Source organism: Homo sapiens, chromosome 5, assembly GCF_000001405.40.
Source record: "Homo sapiens chromosome 5, GRCh38.p14 Primary Assembly".
Classification (NCBI taxonomy): Eukaryota; Metazoa; Chordata; class Mammalia; order Primates; family Hominidae; genus Homo; species Homo sapiens.
The window spans coordinates 75,273,936-75,295,469 of NC_000005.10; the positions used below are offsets into that span (position 1 = coordinate 75,273,936).

The window sequence follows — 21,534 nt, forward strand, 5'->3', positions numbered from 1 at the left end:
ATTCAGTTTCTATTTGTTCTGGCTTAAATCTACTCATAGACACCATAATATATATCCCTCTATTTAAGGAGAGGTGCTGTGACAATCAAGTGTCCGGAGTTTGAAAGAAATGGGAATTTAAGGAACCAATGCAGAAATGCCAAGTAGCTTTTTGATACATTAGCCAAGAAAAGATGTAGAAAATAGTGAACAATCCTGTCGTGAGACAAAGAAGGGTGAGAGACATTCCCTCTCCCCATCTTTCCATGTTAAGATTTCACACAAGTGAAGGTAATTTTGAGTCTTTGAGAGAGGGAGGTAGAGAGAAATGGTATTTTTCTTGAGTCCTTTCAGTGGGTTCCTGGTGCCTTCTATCAGTGCAGCTTGCATGACCCACCCCAGTTAAGGCACCAACTTTCGTATTTTGGTAAAGCACTTAAAAATGTATAATTAGTTCTGATATGTCAACTAACAAGAACTAATCACTCAGGAGAAATGCTCAACAATTTGAATTTTTAGCAAGCATTCCATAATGATTTTACCATCATGGAAAAATCATCATTTTATTAATTTTTATCATCAATTTAGGAGACTGTGGCCTAAAAATGGAAAAGCTGATTAAGAGAATAAGCAATGTATATTTTTTAATTTCAACATTTTCCAGATCAAAATGAAGGCAGGTGTCCAAGTTGCCATTGCACCATAGATTTGTACAGTTTGTGTGAAGTTCACAGGTCAGATTTATTGCATGATAAAGGAAGTGGCAGTGATGTGCTTATTTGTACTTGTATGTTTATCTGGTGCCTGCTAATGGTGGAACTCACCTTCTCCAAGTCACACCAGCTAGGAGCACAGCCAAGCAGGAGTCTTCCACTTAGCTCCTTCTGGCAAATTGTGTGAACGATACCCCCTCACCATCAGTTAAAATCCCTTTGAAATAATAAAGGAAGTCATTGGTATCCTTTGACACAGTGCCACAGACGGTGGCTTAACAACAGACATTTACTCTCCCCGAGTTCTGGAGGCACCAGAAGTCCAGAATCAGGGGTTGTGAGGACAATGCAGGCTCTGGGACTCTGGGCAGGACCTTCCTGGCATCTTCACACTTCTGGCGGCCGGCAATCCTTGCAAACCTCACTGTTCTCTTTATCTGTCTCTGCTGTTGGCTGAAGGATCCTAGGCCACTGTTTGACGTTGCCTGTCACTGCGTGGGCTCCACGCTAGATTTCTGAGGCCTTCTCAGGCTCTTGGTGTTGACTGCATAGATCTCCCCCAACCACAGTTTGGCATATCCTCTGTCTTTGACAACCCCCAACTGTCACTTCACCCTTGTTATATTTCATAGATTTGAGAGTGGTATTGAAGGTAAAGTAGCACACTTTTTTTTTCTTCACCAGTTTTCTGCAAATGCTTAGAAAAAGTAAGGTCAGCACATTTCCTGCTGATGTGGAAATTGCTGATCAATCCAGCAGGCTCAATCTTTTCAGACGAAGCTCAGGTGCCCTAATCCCTTAGGTTGAAGATGAGTTATTTTCCAAGAACTTCAATTTCTCAAGGTCCTCTGCCCCACCACAGTAGGATTTGCTTGAACCTGCAAGATAAACACAGCTTATACTCACACTCTGGGGCTCCCACTGTGTGGAAAGTCTTGAAGAAGTTGAAGCAGAGGAGAGGTGTCATTTGTTGAAAGCTGTCAAACAGCCAGATTATATAAAATTATGAAGATATTTAGCAGGAATATTCTAAGATACTGCTACAAACAACACTATTTATTGACCACAAATATGCCAGTTGCTTTACATATACTCAACCTTACAATAATCCTGCTAGGTAAATCATCTGATTTTACAGATGAGGAAAGAGGTTCAGAGAAGTTAAGCAGCTTGCCCCAAGTCATAGAAATAGAATTCCAAATACAGAATTCAAGAATTAAAAGAACTTTCCAGTCAGCACTGGAATACTGTAGCGCCCTTCCCCCTCAACCCCTCCACATTTACCCCACCCTCCAATCAACATATGAATGGAGGAAAAGGGAAGGGCAGAATTTATGCTTCTAATGGACAGCTTCCTTTCAAGAGGCAGAGGGTGTTGCTGAGCTGATCATGGCCAGTTTTTGCTTCCCAATCCTGCCAATCTATTAGGTCATCCCTTCTTTTGTGGAAAAGAGCAAAGGAGGGACAGAAAGAGTCGGGAGCATTATACTAGCAAAGCCATCTACACGGGGAAGGACATATCAGGAATAAAGAAAAGTACTTATCTCACCTCCCCAACAGATCTATTTCATCTAATATATATGCACACAAGTTACATTCATATGCAAAAGCTTTTAAAATAATACTGTAAATATGTTAGAAGAAAATATAGAAAAAATTTTTATAAACTAATCATGGGAGAGGTTTCCTAGAGCATAAATAAAAACAGAAGCCATAGAAGACTAATCCAAATTTCTGATTTTCTCCTTATAAGGAAATGGAAATCAGAATTTTACTGGGTATACCTTCTGGGATAATAATTATCCAATTATTTATTTATTTGGATAGGCTGTTGGACATTGTGAAGAACTACAGTGAGAGAGAACTTTTTGAATGTTAAAAGAAATGTGGCTTTATGTTATACAGCAAATTAGATAAGCAGAGCCTTACAATTCTAGAAACGGTCTCATTATTGACATCCACAGATATGGTGGCAATAAAATAACACCTATAATGAAAGTATTTGTCACATCTAAATTATAATTACACTCATTTTTAGGCATCTTCATAATTAGGCATCAATGGGAGTAATTCACATAAGTTCTAGGGATCAATATTATTTTTGTGAGATGCAACCTGATATTTAGATTTCCTTTTCTTACTCCATCAGTTCATTATTATCTATAATCAGTAAAAATTTCTATCAGTTACCACTGACACATGACAAAAAGCATCATTAACAACTGCAATTCCCTGGGCTCCTCCCTACTCATTAATGGCCTCTTCTTTGTGCTCTTCCTCCACACCCACTGTGGCAGGCAGACTTTTAAGATGACCCTCAACAGCCAGACATGGTGACTCATGCCTGTAATCCCAGCACTTTGGGAGGCCGAGGCAGGAGGGTTGCTTGAGCCCAGGAGTTTGAGAACAGTCCTAGCGATATAGTGAGAACTTCTCTCTACAAAAAATTAAAATAGTAGCTAGGCATGGTGGCACATGCCTGTAGTCGGAGCTATTTGGGAGGCTGAGGTGGGAGAATCACTTGAGCCTGGGGGGTTCAGGCTGCAGTGAGCTGTGATCATGCCACTACACTCCAGCCTGAGCAACAGAGCAAGACCTTGTCTCAAAAAAAAAAAAGATGACCCTCAATAATCCCCAACTCCTGGTACTCATAAATGTCCTCCCTTTGAGTATGGGCTGAACCTCCTTGAGTGTGACTTGTTTCTATGGATAAGATATGGCAAAAGCAAAGGTATGTCATTTTCATGATTAGACTTCTATCCTGCCAGCACTATCTCTTGCTCTCTTGGTTGGCTCACTTTGATAACATCAGTGTCACATTGTGAAATGCTCTATGGAGACGCCCATATGACAAGGAATTGAGGGAAGCCTCCTGCCAACAGTTCTGGGAAACTGAGGCCTCAAACCAACAGTTGGAGATAACTCAAATCTCACCAACAACCACAAGTGTGCTTGGAAGTAGCTGCTCCCAGCCAAGCGTCGGAATGACTAAACCCAGCTGACACCTTGACTGCAGCATTGAGAAAGAACCTGAAGCAGAGGTCACAATATAATTGTAGTGGCGTCATCAGAGTAGCTACCAGCTGCCCTGCCTGCCTCACCTAAGACATTGTTTGCAAAGCCATTTTGCTAATTTCCAAAGAGCTGTAATTCATATGAGAAGTGACAGTCTGTAGTTATAACAGGTGAATGTGCAATAATCTGTCTTGGAAAATTACAGGCAGGAATACAAATAGTCTAAGTAAGTGAAAACCCAGCTTAGAGTTAACACACCTGTGAATGAAGGAAAATTGTGCAACTCTAAAAATATCCAGGGGCCCATATCATCTAGTATAAACCCAGAGTCACACATTTAAAAAGCCACTTAAGTACCCAAACATAATTAATAAGAGATTCCATTATTTGCTCCAGATGCTTGAAGAAAATTATAGGACCCAATGCATAATGCATATTGACTGTTAACTCTCTCCTCTCTGGAATTTCTTGCCTCGTGAGAAAGTTCAGAACTTCCCACACACTTAATATCCAAACACTTTCTTCACGCTTAGCTCTGAATACATTTTATTTTCCCTCTTTCCATGGCACTACTGCTTTCTTTCCTTTATTATTTAGATAGCATTAGCTTTTTTACCAACAAACAAGAATCCTTTTTTGTTTGTTTTGTTGAGAAAGAAGGTAAATAAGAGGAAGAAAACTAAAGAATAGTAGGTTCTCCTGAGCTGCATGTTAACAATAAAAATGTCAAAAAATTTTGTCTTTTGGAAGCAACATGGACACTGTCCTGCTTCCATCATGGAAAAGTGTGGACAGAATGTTTTACATTCAGGGAAAGAGTTTGCACCCTAGGATAAACCAAAACAAACAACAACAAAAAAAAAATAGGAATACCCTGTCTGGTTCTTGAAACCTTGAGCCATTCTGGTAAGTTACTGACTCACTACTAAAACCTTATTGGCCTGGGCACTGTGGATCACACGAGAGGATCGCTTGAGTCTAGGAGTTCGAGACCAGCTTGAACAACATAGCAAGATCCCATCTCTACAAAAAAATGTAAAAATTAGTCCAGCATGGTTGTGCATGCCTGTAGTCCTAGCTACTTAGGAGGCTGTGGTGGGAGGATCGCTTGAGCCCAGAAGGTCAAGGCTGCAGTAAGCTATGATAAACCACTGCACTCTAGTCTGGGGAACAAAGCAAGATCCTGTCTCTTAAAAAGTTAAGTAAAATAAAAATAACTTTATTCTTGGCTTTTTCAGTTCTGATATATGAAATTATACAACTATTATTAATCCACAGCCTCTCAGCTTGCTGTCCTTTGAGTAGACGTTCATTTCCTTGCTTGAATAACCTGTAATAATAATTCTATCTGAAGCAGTTGCCTGGCAAGAGATGTCCATTCTCCTCAAGATCTGCTCCCACTACTTGTTGCCACAAGACCCACCCTGGCGTTAGATTTCAGATTGTATCGGGAAGACAAATTGAAAGCTTGACACAAGAAGAAACAGCTCACTCTCCAAAGTAATTGCAAAATTTTACTGTTTTATGTTGGCAGAAACCCAGTGAATATGTATGTGAATGAGTTCTAAGAGCATTTGACAAGAACAAAATGTAACACTGGGTAAGGCTAACTATATTGATATTGGTGTACTGACCATTGATTCTGGATTTAATAAATTAGCTCATACTACTACAAGTTGCTTTAACAGTTCACTGGATTTGTTGACTAAAATTTCAACTCAAGTCTGGCCTACATTTAATGAGGTTGAGATGCTGGAACTTCCCTGAGATAATGTAAGTGAAAGCATTCAAAGGATTGGAGAAATTTGTTGAAGTAAATTATCATGTGCAAAATTAATCCCTGCCTTTTCCCTCTTCATCCACTGAGAGGACCCAGAGGATATGCAATTTAATAAGGCACTGAGAAGTAGATTAGTGAAGGGAGCACAAGCATCACAGAAAAGGAGGTGTTATCCTTTGTAGGTCAGTTAGAAAGATAGAAGATGGTACTGTTGAGATTGGTTTCTTGATTCAATGAGGATAATGGATCCCAGAGTAGCACAGGTCACGTGGCAGCACTTAATAGTCACACACAGGTGTTCACTATCTGTGCATCAGGGAGGAAGTGGTATCAAAATGTTCTGACCTACAAGAACCTTTGATGATGGTTAGTTGATCCCAGTAGGTAGGAACAAAATAACCTATGAACATAGTCCTTATTCCATGTAACATGAAAAACTTCAGGTCTGGTGACTGGAGACCTGATCTGAGAGGGAAGTAAAGCACTAGGAACAGACAGAGGATAAACTATGAACGGCAGAATTCTGAGATGATCCCAATGTTTCTGCCCTCTAACATACATGATTTGTATAAAGCTTTAAGTGCAAGAAGAATCTGTGAATATTATGGGATACTCCATGACAATGTGATCATAATATGTCACAATTAATTTTTCCAATGTAATTAAGATTCCTAAGCAGTTGACTTTGAGTTCATCAAGATGGAAATCACCTTGCATGAATCTGAGTAGATCAGACAAGACCTTTTTGAAAGAAGGTCCAACAGAGCTGGAAGAAAGCAGAGAGATCTTAAGCTGCAGCAAACACCCCTGCTAGTCTTAAAGAAGCAAAGTCCATGTTATATAAAGAGCCACATGGCAGGGAATGGCAGGCAGGCCTTAGAAGCTGAGAATGGCCTCAGTTGACAGCCAGAAGGAAAGCCAGAACCCCATTCCTACAACCCCAAGGGATTGAATTCTTCCACATTGAACGAGCTTGGAATAGTACTATACACTACAGATAAGAGTACGACCATGGTTAATTGTTTGATTTTAGACTTGTGAGACCCCAAAGGGAGAATGCAGTTGAGCCTAATGCAGACTTCTGACCTATAGAATGTGAGATGATAAATAAGCTTCAAAGCTTAGTGGCAGCTCAGCTTTGGGTCTATTAAAAAAAAATCAGTTATTATAGAAAATATTACTTAGAAAGTGAGAGCCTCTCATAATTCAATTCAATCACAGACAAATGCCGATAACAGTTGTGTATACATAAATTAGATACATACCATTTTTAAATTTAGAAATGGGAGCATACTATATTATACTGTTCTGAAACTTAGCCAGGCATGATAGCACATGCCTATAGTCCTAGCTACTCGGGAGGCAGGGGCAAGAGGATCACTTGAACCTGGGAGTTCAAGACCAGCTTGGGCAACATAGCGCAACCCATCTCTACTAAAAATAATTTTTACAAAATAGCCAGGTGCAGTGGTGTACACCTGTAATCCCAGCTACTCAGGAGGCTGAGATGGGAGGATTTCTTGAGCCCAGGAGTTAAAAGTTACAGTGAGATCTGATTGTGCCACTGTACTCCAGCCTGGGCAACAGAGTGAGACCTTGTCCCAACCCCGCAAAAAAAAAAAGAGTTGGCCAGACGCGGTGGCTCACACCTGTAATCCCAGCACTTTGGGAGGCCGAAGCAGGCAGATCACCTGAAGTCAGGAGTTCGAGACCAGCCTGGCCAACATGGTGAAACCCTGTCTCTATTAAAAATACAAAAATTAGCTGGGTGCGGTGGTGGACACCTGTAGTCCCAGCTACTCAAGAGGCTGAGGCACAGAATTTCTTGAACTGGGGAGATGGAGGCTGCAGTGAGCCGAGATTGTGCCACTGCACTCCAGCCTGGGCAACAGAGTGAGACTCTGACTCAAAAAAAAAAAAGAGTATACCACATTAGAAAAGCAAATGAAGCCCTTTCATGAGCTTTGTCTATGAAAGGGAGGAAGGAGGGTAGTGTAGGAAAGAAATGTAGGGTTAAGGAAGGATATTATATCCACATACGTAAATTTTAGAATGGTATCATGCTATATATATGTTTTATATGTTTGCATATGTATATCTATATAAAAAATTGTCTTCCTCTCACCACCCCCCAATATGCCCAGTTCCCCACAAAAATGAATTATAACAGCTAATGATTTATGTATCTTTCCAAAGTTTCTTCATGCATATACAAGGTAATATGTATTATATATCTCCCTATTTTACACAATATATACTATATAAATTTTCTGGATTTTTTTCAAATAATATATCTTGGAGCTTTTTTTATACCAGCCCATAGAGGACTTGCCCACCTTTTAAAGTTGCACAGTATTCCACTGCATGGATGGACCACATCTATTTAACTAGTCACCTATTGATGACCACCTTTTGCTATTGTGAATGACACTGTGATGTATCATTTTGCCCACATGAAAGCAAGGCCACTGCTAGTCCCTCAGTGCTGTGTTGAGTAATCCTTCACTCCACTTCCTGCCCTGCAGACACTGAAACAAGGACTTAAGTACAGTTAGTTTATTGAGAGGTGATTCCAGGAAACAGGAGTGAAGGAGTAGGGACAGTGAGAAAGCAAGGAAGGAGAAGCCAAGAAGAAGGTGGGTTTTAGAAGTTGTCTGGAACCCCCAAGAACTATATACAACACCCCAAAATTGTTCAGCGAAGGACAAAAGACTGAAGCATTTATCCAGGTTGCTCCTAGATGCATTAGTTCTCCCACACTTCCACACTGAATTTCACCCTAGGGAAAGCTCAAGAAAGACTACTGTCAGCTGATGTGAGCCTGAGCAACCGTGAAACTGTCCACCGCAATGTGGCTGAGATCCAAGGTGGGCTGAAATATGTGATAGGGTGACCAGTCTTTGTGAAAATTGGAGAAAGGTGCCCGATCTGAGCAGAAGTAATCTTGTATTCTCACAGTTTGGTGGGTAGATAGCATCTTTGTGTGAATTTTAGAAAGGTTACTTTCTCTAAGCTCTTTACATCCCTGCCTCAGGGACAGGATATGCAGCTAGAAAAGAGAGCCCAGACTGGATTTCAGCTCCTTGGCCAAAGGCACTCAAGCGATGAGCACAACCATACTGTGTGCCCCTGGATGCACATGCATCAGAGGACACATTTCTAAAATGATCATGATTCTTTCCTCTACTCAGGACTTCCTCACATGTTTGCACTGATCAGGACTCAGTTAAACTTGGGAATCCGCTGCAAATCTCTAGGCTGTCTCTCTCTCTACTTCCTTCTCTCTGGTACCTGGCCTGCAAATTCTACCTACTTTTGCCTCCACAAATTCCAACATTCCTCAACTCAAGGAGACCACTGGGCTCTGTCTGGGTTTCTCCTTCCTGTGTCAAGCACGTACTCTGTTTTCATGCAGTGAGCTGGGACACTCAAAGGATTTACCTTTCTTGTTTCCTGTGTCTTCCAGATCACTGTTCTTTGCTGCCTGATGGTCAGTGCCTTGAAAATTATTGTTTTATATATTTGATTCAGATTTATAGCTAAGATGTGAAGGTAAATAGAGTACCAGATATTCCTTCTTGACCTGAAGTAGAAATCTTTACATGTGCATTTTTTTTATTTTAATAAGTACTCCCCAGAAAACTTTGCACACAGGCTATACCAATTTTCACTTCAGTTAGCAATGTGTAAGTGCTCACGTCTTCACATGCCAGGCACAAGGCAAAATGTCATCAAAATTTGTTCATACCCTGGGCCAGAAGGGAACCCTCTGCCTTGAAGGGAAGGACCCAGTTCTGCAGGATTCATCACCTGCTGATTAAAGTGGGCCTTGAATAAACATCAGCGGTAACCAGGCAGTACCTGCCTCCGGCCTTGGGTAAGACTGTGCCATGCCGACTTCAGGTGTGACCCATCACCTCTCCAGCTGTGGTGGCCACCGGGAGAAACTCCTTCTGCTTGAGGAAAGGGGAGGGAAGAGTAAAGGGGGCTTTGTTTTGCTGCTTGGGTACCAGCTTGGTCACAGTGAGGTGGAGAACCAAGCAGGTTCCTGGGGTTCTCGATTTCTGGATGGCATTTCCACACCCACCCTATGCCAGAGGGTAGTCCACAGCCCTGAAGGGAGAGACCCAGGCCTGGTAGCATTTACCACAAGCTGATTGAAGAGCTCTTGAGCCTTTTGTGCAGCCAGGCAGTGCTTGCCACAGCTTGGCATGGTGGTGGCCATGAAGAGAGACTCCTCTGCTTGAAGAAAGGAGAGGGAAGAGTGGGAAGGACTTTCTCCTGTGGCTTTGGTGCCAGCTCAGCTGCAGGAGAATAGATAGAGCAGCAAGGAGATTCCTAAGGATCCTGACTGCAGGCCCTGGCCCCTGGACAGCATTTCTGGACCCACCCCGGGCCAAGGGAGTGCTCACCACCCTGAAGGGAAGGACATAAGCCTGGCCGGATTTGCCACCTGATGAATGAACTTTGAGTGAACATTGGCAGTAGCTAGGCAGTGTTTATTGCGGACCTTGGGCAAGACCCAGTGCTGTGCTGACACTGGGTCTGACCAAGCACAGTCCCAGTGGTGGTGGCCACAGGAGTGCTTGTGTCACCCCTCCCCCAGCTACGGGCAACTCAGCATGGAGCGAGGGATCCATTTGTTTGGGGGAAAGTAAAGGATAAGAATAAGAGTCTCTGACTACTAATCCAGGGAATTCTTTTGAATCTTACCTAAGACCAGCAAGGTGGTACTTCTATGAGTCTGCAAGAACCACAGTGTTACTAGGTTTGGGGTGCCCCCTAATGCAGATATTGCTGCAGTGACCAGACAATTAGATCACAATACTTAATTTCCTTTGAACACTTGGAAAGCCTTCCCAAGAAAGACAGGTACAAACAAACCCAGACTGCAAAGACTACAATAAATACCAAAGTCTTCAATGCCCAGATATTGAAAAACATCCACAGAATCAAGACCATCCAGGAAAACATGGTCTCACCAAACCAACTAAATTAGGCACCCATGACCAATCCTGGAGAGACAGAGACATGTGACCTTTCAGGCAGAATTTAATATAGCTGTTTTGAGAAAGCTCAGTGACATTCAAGATAGCATAGAGAAGGAATTCAGAATCATATTATATAAATTTAACAAAGAGATTGAAATAATTTAAAAATTCAAGCAGAAATTCTGGAGCTGAAAAGGTCAGTTGTAATGCTGAAGAATGCATCGGTCTCTCAACAGCAGAACTGATCAAGCAGAAGAAAGAATTAGCAAGCTTAGAGACAGACTATTTGAAAATACACAGTCAGAGGAGACAAAAAAAAAATTATAAAAATTTGAAGCACACATACAAGATCTAGAAAACAGCCTCCAAAGGGCAAATCTACGACTCACTGGCCTTAAAGAGGAGACAGATCAGGGTAAAAAGTTTATTCAAAGGGTTAATAACAGAGAGCTTAATTACTTACAAACCTACAAAAATATATCAATATTCAAGTATAAGAAGGTTATAGAACACAAAGCAGATTTAAACCAAATAAGACTAACTCAAGACACATAATAATCAAATTCTCAAAGTCCAAGGGTAAAGAAAGGATCCCAAAAGCAGGAAGACAAAAGAAACAACATGCAAAGGAGCTCCAATACACGTGGCTGCAAACTTCTTAGTTGAAACCTTACAGGCCAGGAGAGAGTGGTATGACATATTTAAAGTGCTGAAGGAAAAAAAAACTTTTACCCTAGAATAGTATGTCTGGTGAAAATATCTTTCAAACATGAAGGAAATGTGAAAGAAAAATATCTTGTGCCCCTACAATCACTAAGCTAAAGTGAAAAGTCAAGCTGGGAAACGCTTAGGGCAAACCTGCCTCCCATTCTATTCAAAGTCACCCCTCTACTTACTGAGATAAATGCATATCTGGGCAGGGGGCGGTGGCTCACGCCTGTAATCCCAGCACTTTGGGAGGCCGAGGCAGGCAGATCACAAGGTCAGGAGATCGAGACTATCCTGGCTAACACGGTGAAACCCCGTCTCTACTAAAAATATAAAAAATTAGCCAGGCGTAGTGGCGGCCACCTGTAATCCCAGCTACTCGGGAGGCTGAGGGAGGAGAATGGCATGAACCCAGGAGGTGGAGCTTGCAGTGAGCCAAGATCGCTCCACTGCACCCAGCCTCCAGACTCCGTCTCAAAAAAAAAAGCATATCTGATTGCCTCCTTTGGAGAGGCTAATTAGAAACTCAAAAGAATGCAAACATTTGTCTCTTATCTACCTATGACCTGGTAGCCCCCTTCCAGCTTTCAGTTGTCCTGCCTTTCCAGACCGAACCAATGTTCATCTCATATATGTTGATTGATGTCTCATGTGTCCCTAAAATGTATAAAACCAGACTATGCTCTGACCAGTTTGGGCGCATGTTGTCAGGACCTCCTGAGGCTGTGTCATGGGCACGTCATCAACCTCGGCAAAATTAACTTTCTAAATTAACTGAGACTTGTCTTGACTTTTTAGAGTTTGCATTTTGGTAACCATGAAGGGATTCTGAGTGGAGGTTCCCCTGACTATTGACAAATCCCCTACTGGTGCTTGGTACCAACATGAGCTAACTTTATGGCTCAAACCAATAGGATAATTTGCTGAGGTCTGAGAGCACCTGCTCCAGAGAATTCCTGATCTCCCAAAATTTGGTTGAAATCTAAAGTTTATTTTGCTGTACAATTCTTTTTTTTTTTTCTCTTCCATGGTCATGGAAGGCAGGTAACTCCTTTATGAAGTTTGAGCTCACTTCCAAAGGGGAGATGAGGTTTTCTTTTGGTTTTTTTGTTTGTTTGTTTGTTTGTTTTTCCTGCTTCTAGGATGGTAGAGAGAGTCTTCAGCCTGAAATCCATCCCTCGGTAAGTAACCGAATTGAGGTTTGTCTTGGATAAAGCTAAGATTAACAACCAGCTGGTCTTAATTTCTCCTTACCATTAGAACACTCAGTAATCATGTAAGTTGTGCAATCATTTGTTTTGCTTAACATTTTTTCTTATTGTTGTTTGTTTCTGTTTCTGTTGTTGTTTCGGTCTTTTTCCCATTGGGTTTGATCAACTCTATCCAACCAGATCAAACCCAAAGGAAGTTCCAAATTATGAGGAAAGAGGCCTCTGAGGTGGCTAAATTCCCAAACACACACAAAAAAGGATAGTGTGGTGGGAGTAGAAAAATGGCCAGCAAAAGGATAAAAAGAGAGGAAAAAAATTTTTATTTTGACTGCTAAGGGGCTTTATTTACATAACAAGGCCATCTGTTTGCTAGCCAGGCCAAACTGAAGAGCAATGGCTGTACATCTGACATAGCAGCAATTTGTTCTAGCTGAAATATGGTAATGAGATTAAAAAACATCTTTTCGAAGGAGCTCAATGGTTAAAAGCTTAATTAAAAGCAAACATCCAAGGTGTGTGTGTGTGTGTGTGCACATATTTGTGTGTTTGTATTTAAAAGGCCTTCATGTTTTGTTTTTGTTTTTCTCCTAGGACCTCATCTTTTTTTTTTTTTTTTTTTTTTTTTTTTTTTTTTTAAGCAAAAGTTTTTCTTTCTCAGTTGACTGGACTTTTTTTGTTGTTGTTGTTGAGACAGAGTCTCTCTCTTGTTGCCTAGGTTGTAGTGCAATGGCGCGATCTCAGCTCACTGCAATCTCCATCTCCCGGGTTCAAGTGATTCTCCTGCCTCAGCCTCCCAAGTGGCTGGAACTACAGGTGCATGCCACCACACCCAGCTAATTTTTGGTATTTTTAGTAGAGACGGGGTTTCATTTTGTTAGCTAGGATGGTCTTGAGCTCCTGACCTGGTGATCCGCCGTCCTGACCTGGAGATCCACCCTGACCTGGTGATCCACCTGCCTGACCTGGAGCGCCTGACCTGGTGATCCGCTTTTGCTGTGCAGAAGCTCTTTACTTTAATCAGATTCCATTTGTCAATTTTGGCTTTTGTTGCAATTGCTTTTGGTGTTGTAGTCATGAAGTCTTTGCCCATGCCTGTGTCCTGAATGGTATTGCCTAGGTTTTCTTCTAGGGTTTTTATGGTTTTTAGGTCTTACATTTAAGTCTTTAATCCATCTTGAGTTAATTTTTGTATAAGGTGTAAGGAAGGGGTCCAGTTTCAGTTTTCTGCATATGGCTAGCCAGTTTTCCCAACACCACTTATTAAACAGGGAATCCTTTCCCCATTGCTTGTTTTTCTCAGGTTTGTCAAAGATCAGATGGTTGTACATGTGTGGCATTATTTCTGAGGCCTCTGTTCTGTTCCATTGGTCTATATATCTGTTTTGGTACCAGTACCATGCTGTTTTGGTTACTGTAGCCTTGTAGTATAGTTTGAAGTCAGGCAGCGTGATGCCTCCAGCTTTGTTCTTTTGGCTTAGGATTGTCTTGGCTATGCGTGCTCTTTTTTGGTTCCATATGAAATTTAAAGTAGTTTTTTCTAATTCTTTTTTTTTTTTTGAGACAGAGTCTCACACTGTCACCCGGGCTGGAGTGAGCTGGCATGATCTCAGCTCACTGCAACCTCCACCTCCCAGGTTCATGAGATTCTCTTGCCTCAGCCTCCCAAGTAGCTGGCATTACAGGTGCACACCACCATATCCGGCTAATTTTTTTGTATTTTTAGTAGAGACACAGTTTCACTATGTTGGCCAGACTGATCTTGAACCCCTGACCTCATAATCTGCCCGCCTTGGCCTCCCAAAGTGCTGGGATTACAGGGGTGAGCCACCGCACCCAGCCGTTTTTTGTAAATCTGTGAAGAAAGTCAATGGTAGTTTGATGGGGATAGCATTGAATCTATACATTACTTTGGGCAGTATGGCCACTTTCATGATATTGATTCTTCCTATCCATGAGCATGGAATGTTTTTCCATTTGTTTATATCCTCTCTTATTTCCTTGAGCAGTGATTTGTAGTTCTCCTTTAAGAGGTCCTTTACAACCATGGTAAGTTGTATTCCTAGGTATTTTATTCTCTTTGTAGCAATTGTGAATGGAAATTTACTCATGATTCGGCTCTCTATTATTGGTGTATAGGAATGCTTGTAATTTTTGCACATGGATTTTGTATCCTGAGACTTTGCCAAACTTGCTTACAGCTTAATAAGTTTTCGGGCTGAGACAATGGGGTTTTCTAAATATACAATTATGTCAGCTGCAAACAGAGATAATTTGACTTCCTCTCTTCCTACTTGAAAACTCTTTATTTCTTTCTCTTGCCTGATTGCCCTGGCCAGAACTCCCAATATTATGTTGAATATGAGTGGCAAGAGAGGGCATCTTTATCTTGTGCTGGTTTTCAAAGGGAATGCTTCCAGCTTTTGCCCATTCAGTATGATATTGGCTGTGGGTTTGTCAAATAGCTCTTATTATTTTGAGATATGTTCCATCAATACCTAGTTTATTGAGAGTTTTTATCATAAAGGGGAGTTGAATTTTATCAAAGGCCTTTTCTGCATCTATTGAGACAATCATGTGGTTTTTGTCATTGGTTCTGTTTATGTGATGGATTATGTTTATTGATTTGCATATGTTGAACCAGCCTTGCATCCCAGGGATGAAGCTGATTTGGTCATGGTAGATAAGCTTTTTCAAGTGCTGCTGGAATCAATTTGCCAGTATTTTATTGAGGATTTTTGCATTGATGTTCATCAGGGATATTGACCTGAAATTTTCTTTTTTTGTTGTGTCTCTGCCAAGTTTTTGTATCAGGATGATGCTGGCCTCATAAAATGAGTTATGAGGAATCCCTCTTTTTCCATTGTTTGGAATAGTTTCAGAAGGAATGGTACCAGCTCCTCTATGTACCTCTGGTAGAATTCGGCTGTGAATCCACCTGGCCCTGGGCTTTTTTGGTTGGTAGGATATTAATTACTTCCTCAATTTCAGAACTTGTTATTTGTCCATTCAGGGATTCAATTTATTCCTGGTTTAGTCTTGGGAGGGTGTATGTGTCCAGGAATTTATCCATTTCTTCTAGATTTTCTACTTTATTTGCATAGAAGTGTTTATATTATTCTTTAATGGTAGTTTGTATTTCTGTGGGATCAGTGGTGATATCCCCTTTAACATTTTTTATTGTGTCTGTTTGATTCTTCTCTCTTTCCTTCTTTATTAGTCTGGCTAGTGGTCTATCAATTTTGTTGATCTTTTCAAAAACCAGCTCCTGGATTCATTGATTTTTTGAAGCGTTTTTTGTGTCTCTATCTTCTTCAGTTCTGCTCTGCTCTTAGTTATTTCTTGTCTTCTGCTAGCTTTTGAATTTGTTTGCTCTTGCTTCTCTAGTTCTTTTAATTGTGATGTTAGGGTGTCAATTTTAGATCTTTCCCACTTTCTGATGTGGGCATTTAGTGGTATAAATTTCCCTCTAAACACTGCTTTAGCTGTGTCCCAGAGATTCTGTATGTAGTGTCTTTGTTCTCATTGGTTTCAAAGAATTAATTTTTTCTGCCTTAATTTTGTTATTTACCCAGTAGTCATTCAGCAGCAGGTTGTTCAGTTTCCATGTAATTGTGCAGTTTTGAGTGAGTTTCTTAATCCTGAGTTCTAATTTGATTGCACTGTTGTCTGAGAGGCTGTTTGTTATAATTTCCATTCTTTTGCATTTGCTGAGGAGTGTTTTGCTTCCAATTATGTGGTCAATCTTAGAATAAGTGCCATGTGGTTCTGAGAAGAATGTATATTCTGTTGATTTGGGGTGGAGAGTTCTGTAGAAGTCTATTAGGTCTGCTTGGTCCAGAGCTGAGTTCAAGTCCTGAATATCCTTGTTAATTTTCTGTCTCATTGATCTGTCTAATATTGGTAGTAGGGTGTTAAAGTCTCCCATTATTATTGTGTGAGAGTCTAAGTCTCTTTGTAGGTCTCTAAGAACTTGCTTTATGAATCTGGGTGCTCCTGTATCGGGTGCATATATATTTAGAACGGTTAGCTCTTCTTGTTGAATTGATCCCTTTACCATGATGTAATGGCCTTTGTCTTTTTTGATCTTTGTTGGTTTAAATTCTGTTTTATCAATGACTAGTATTGTAACCTCTGCTTTTTTTTTTTTTTTTTTTTTGCTTTCCATTTGCTTGGTAAATATTGTTCCATCCCTTTATTTTTAGCCTAAGTGTGTCTTTGTACGTGAGATGCATCTCCTGAATGCAGCATACCAATGGATCTTGACTCTTTTTCCAATTTGCCAGTCTGTGCCTTTTAATTGGGGCATATATCCCTTTTACATTTAAGGTTAATATTGTTATGTGTGAATTTGATCCTGTCACTATGCTAGCTGGTTATTTTGCCCATTAGTTGATGCAGTTTCTTCATAGTTTTGATGGTCTTTACATTTTGCTATGTTTTTGCAGTGGCTGGTACTGGTTTTTCCTTTCCATATTTGGTGCTTCCTTCAGGAGCTCTTGTAAGGCAGGCCTGGTGGTAACAAAATCCCTCAGCATTTGCTTGTCTGTAAAGGATTTCATTTCTCCTTCACTTATGAAGCTTAGTTTGGCTGGATATGAAATTCTGGGTTGAAAATTCTTTTCTTTAAGAATGTTGAATATTGGTCCCCACTTTCTTCTGGCTAGTAGGGTTTCTGCAAAGAAATTTGCTACTAGTCTGATGGGCTTCCCTTTTATGGGTAACCTGACCTTTCTCTCTGGCTGCCCTTAACATTTTTTCCATCATTTCAACCTTGGTGAATTTGATGATTATGTGTCTTTGGGTTGCTCTTCTTGAGAATTATTTTTGTGGTGTTCTCTATGTTTCCTGAATTTGAATGTTGGCCTGTCTTGCAATCCTGAAGATTGTTTTCCAACTTGGTTCCATTCTCCCCGTCACTTTCAGGTACACCAAACAAATGTAGGTTTGGTTTTCTTCACATAGTCCCATATTTCTTGGAGGCTTTGTTCATTCTTTTTCATTTTTTTTCTCTAATCTTGTCTTCATGCTATATTTCATTAAGTTGATCTTCAATCTCTGATATCTTTTCCTCCACTTGATCAATGTGGCTACTGATACTTGTGTATGCTTCACAAAGTTCTCATGCTGTGTTTTTCAGCTCTATTTGGTCATTTCTGTTTTTCTCTAAACTGGTTATTATCATTAGTGTTGGGGTGATCAGACCCAACACCAGGCCGTGGGGGCTACAAAATCCAGCAGAGTCAAGGGAATAAGACAAGACAAGTTAAGAGTACATAAAGTGTGTTCAGGGGGCCAATGCTAGTATGGAGGCTGCAAAGGCCCCGAGCTCTGGAAGCCCACACTATTTATTGGTGACCAAATAAAGAAGCAGGTGGTAAGTACGTGCAGATGTGGGGGTAAACAGGTGAGAATGTGAGGACTTGGGGGTAGAAAGGTAGCAGTGCATCAAGTGTAGCTGTTATGGTTTAGCATTTTCATTGATGCATATGTAATATGCTCTGCTACCTGAGATAATGGAGAACATGTTTACAAGCCTGGGGGAGCAAGAAGCAAGGAACCAACAAGTCTTTGCACATTCCAGAGGCCACAAGGGGTTTTATGCCCTGAGCCTTGGATTCCATCCACGCCACAAGGGGTTGTATTCCCTGTGCTTAGATTGTGGTGCAGCAGGGCAGCCTTCCACCCTTTGGCACAGAGCTTGGTGTTCCAAAGGCCACGAGGGGGTTTAGACCCTGGACCCAGGACATGTTCCAAGACTCTTTTACATAATGACAGACAAGCCCGTCTTGCATCAGCTCTTCTACCAACAGTTAGCAATTCCTCTAACCTTTTTTAAGGTTCTTAGCTTCCTTGCATTGGGTTAGAACATGCTCCTTTAGCTTGGAGGAGTCTGTTATTACCCATCTTCTGAAGCCTACTTCTGTCAATTCATCAAATCCATTCTCTGTCCAGTTTTGTTGCCTTGCTGGTAAGGAGTTGTGATCCTTTGGAGGAGAAGAGGCATTCTGGTTTTTGGAACTTTCAGCATTTTTGCGCTGGTTTTTCCTCATCTTCATGGATTTATCTACCTTTGGTCTTCGATGTGGTTTCTGAGTGGACGTCCCTTTTTGTTGATGTTGATGCTATTCCTTTCTGTTTGTTAGTTTTCCTTCTAACAGTCATGCCCCTCTGCTGTAGGTCTGCTGGCACTTGCTGGAGGTCCACTCCAGACCCTGTTTGCTTGGGTATCACCAGCAGAGGCTGCAGAACGGCAATGATTGCTGCCTATTCCTTCCTCTGGAAGCTTCATCCCAGACGGGCACCTGCCCAATGCCAGCTGGAACTCTCCTGTATGAGGTGTCTGTCGACCCCTGCTAGGAGGAGTCTCCCAGTCAGGAGGCAGGGGGGTCAGGGGCCCACTTGAGGTGGCAGTCTGTCCCTTAGCAGAGCTTGAGCTCTGTGCTGGGAGATCCGTTGCTCTCTTCAGAGCTGGCAGGCAAGAATGGTTGAGTCTGCTGAAGCTGTGCCCACAGCCACCCCTTCCACCAGGTGCTCTGTCCTAGGGAGATGGCAGTTTTATCTATAAGCCCCTGACTGTGGCTGCTGCCTTTCTTTCACAGATGCCCTTCCCAGAACAGAGGAATCTAGAGAGGCAGACTGGCTACAGCAGCTTTGCCAAGCTGCAGTGGGCTCCAAGTAGTTTGAACTTCCCAGCGGCTTTCTTTACACTGTGAGGTAAAAACCACCTACTCAAGCCTTAGTAATGGCGGACACCCCTCTCTCCACCAAGCTCAAGTGTCCAAGGTCGACTTCAGACTGCTGTGCTGGCAGTGAGAATTTCAAGCCGATGGATCTTAGCTTGCTGGACTCCGTAGTGGTGGGATCTGCTGAGCTAGACTACTTGGCTCCCTGGTTTCAGCCCTCTTTCCAGGGGATGAACAGTTCTGTCTTGCTGGCATTTCAGGTGCCACTGTGGCATGAAAAAAAAAAAAAACTTCTACAGCTAGCTTGGTGTCTGCCCAAACAGCCACCCAGTTTTGTGCTTGAAACCCAGGGCCCTGGTGGCGTAGGTCCCCAAAGGAATTTCCTGGTCTGCAGGCTGTGAAGACTATGGGAAAAGTGTAGTGTCTGGGCCAGAGTGCACCATTCCTCAAGGCCCAGTCCCTCACAGCTTCCCTTGGCTAGGGGAGGGAGTTCCCTGACCCCTTGTGCTTCCCGGGTGAGGTGACGCCCCACTCTTCTTCAGCTCGCCCTCTGTGGGCTGCACACACTGTCTAACCAGTCCCATTGAGATGAGCTGGGTACCTCAGTTGGAAATCCAGAAATCACCCACCTTCTGCATTGATTTCACTGGGAGCTACAGACTGGAGGTGTTTCTATTTGGTCATCTTGCCCGCAAACCCCTGCTTACTTTTGTATTGTGTTACTTACTTTTTTGTTTGTTCTTGCTAAAATAGTTATTGCAACAGGGGTTACTCTTGGATTTTTAAGAAAAGGTGTAGTTTATAGTTTAGACACTTAGAAATGACTTCGTTTTTAAAAAAACTTTTTTAAGTGCACTGTAAAAGCATCGTGTGGTCTAACCTCAAAATTATTCTCCCTTTTTGGTGACCCAGGATTCAGTGTGGGCTCTGCCCAGAGCTCAGAGACACAGTTAAAATATAAGTAGTCCCTATCTAAATAAAATTGGTCTTTTTATACAATCCTATGATAGATTTGTATATTTTATATTTGATTTGGCATCCATCTTTAATCCCTCTCTAGCACCACTAGACTTTTTCTCCTTATGATGTAAATGTTACCATTTGATTTTCACTTGAGTTGTTTCCTTTAATATGGAAATTTAAGGCTATTTAGCTGACAACTGCCTAGGATTGGGAAACAGCTTATCAAGAATCTGAAATATAGGGAAAAAAAGAATTTTATAAATGTATAGGATGTAGTTCTATTGGCATGCCAAATACATCTATGTATTTATGCATTGTGTACACAATGTTTTACTACTGAAAATGTGTAAAAGAGCTCTAATTAATTGGCTTAAAATAAAAGCACTTGAATGAAATGCTTTATCGGGAAAAAAGACTAATCAAATGCTTTTTCACATTTACGTAACTTAAGTAAAATTTGTAATAAATAAGCTTAGGAAAATAAAAGCACTTGAATCAAATGCTTTATCAGAAAAGAAAAAGACTAGTCAAATGCTTTTACACATTTACGTAACTTAAGTAAAATTTGTAATAAATAATCTAGCTTTAAAATTATTGGTGGCAGGACACGGTGGCTCACACCTGTAATCCTAGCACTTTGAGAGGCTGAGGTGGGTGGATCACCTGAGGTTGGGAGTTCGAGACCAGCCTGACCAACATGGAGGAACCCCATCTCTACTAAAAATACAAAAGTAGACGGGCATGGTGGTGCATGCCTGTAATCCCAGCTACTTGGGAGGCTGATGCAGGAGAATCGTTTGAACTCAGGAGGCAGAGGTTGTGGTGAGCCGAGATTACACCATTGCACTCCAGCCTGGGAAACAAGAGTGAAACTCTGCCTCAAAAAAAAAAAATTATTGGTAAAGGAATATTGGAAACATCTTAAGAATGGCCAGCATACATTTTTGTTTGCATTTATTAATCAAGCAATTTCATACTTATTCCTGCCAATTACTATAAGGTGTCAAAATTTGGCATAGGGGTTACAAAACTATAAACCCAGCCCAAGACAGAATGATCTTTGCTTGTGTAATCTTTAATAAATAAGACATTGATATCAGTTTAATAAAAACAGCTACATCTGGAATTTAGTAAGATTACCATAACTTCTAATCCTGTGGCTTTAGGTGGTCTAGTCCATCAGCAGTAAGGGTTGTTTTGGGAAAGGACTGTTATCATCTTTGTTTCAAAGCTAAATTATAAACTAAGTTCCTGCCATAGTTAGTTTGGCCTATGCCCAGGAATGAACAAGGACAGCTTGGAGGTTAGAAGCAAGATGGAGTCAGTTAGGTCAAATCTTTTTCACTGTCTCATTTATAATTTTTGCAATGGTGGTTCGATAATTTTAAATAATGACAATCACAGTTTTTATAAACAATCTAGGTAAATGATTAAAATAAAATAATTAGGTAAAGGTAATAAAATAAATACTTGTAGACAAACTCATCATAA

General features: G+C 41.2%; 1 long non-coding RNA gene across 1 annotated transcript in view; it reads right to left on the reverse strand.

Moving 5' to 3' along the window:
* Positions 1-597: 597 nt before the first annotated feature.
* Positions 598-21,534, reverse strand: part of LOC124901007 (uncharacterized) — a 46,598-nt gene continuing 25,661 nt past the window's right edge. Inside the window, exon 2 of the long non-coding RNA XR_007058824.1 lies at positions 598-1,570. This is a non-coding gene — a long non-coding RNA (uncharacterized LOC124901007). The remainder of the gene's footprint in view (positions 1,571-21,534) is intronic.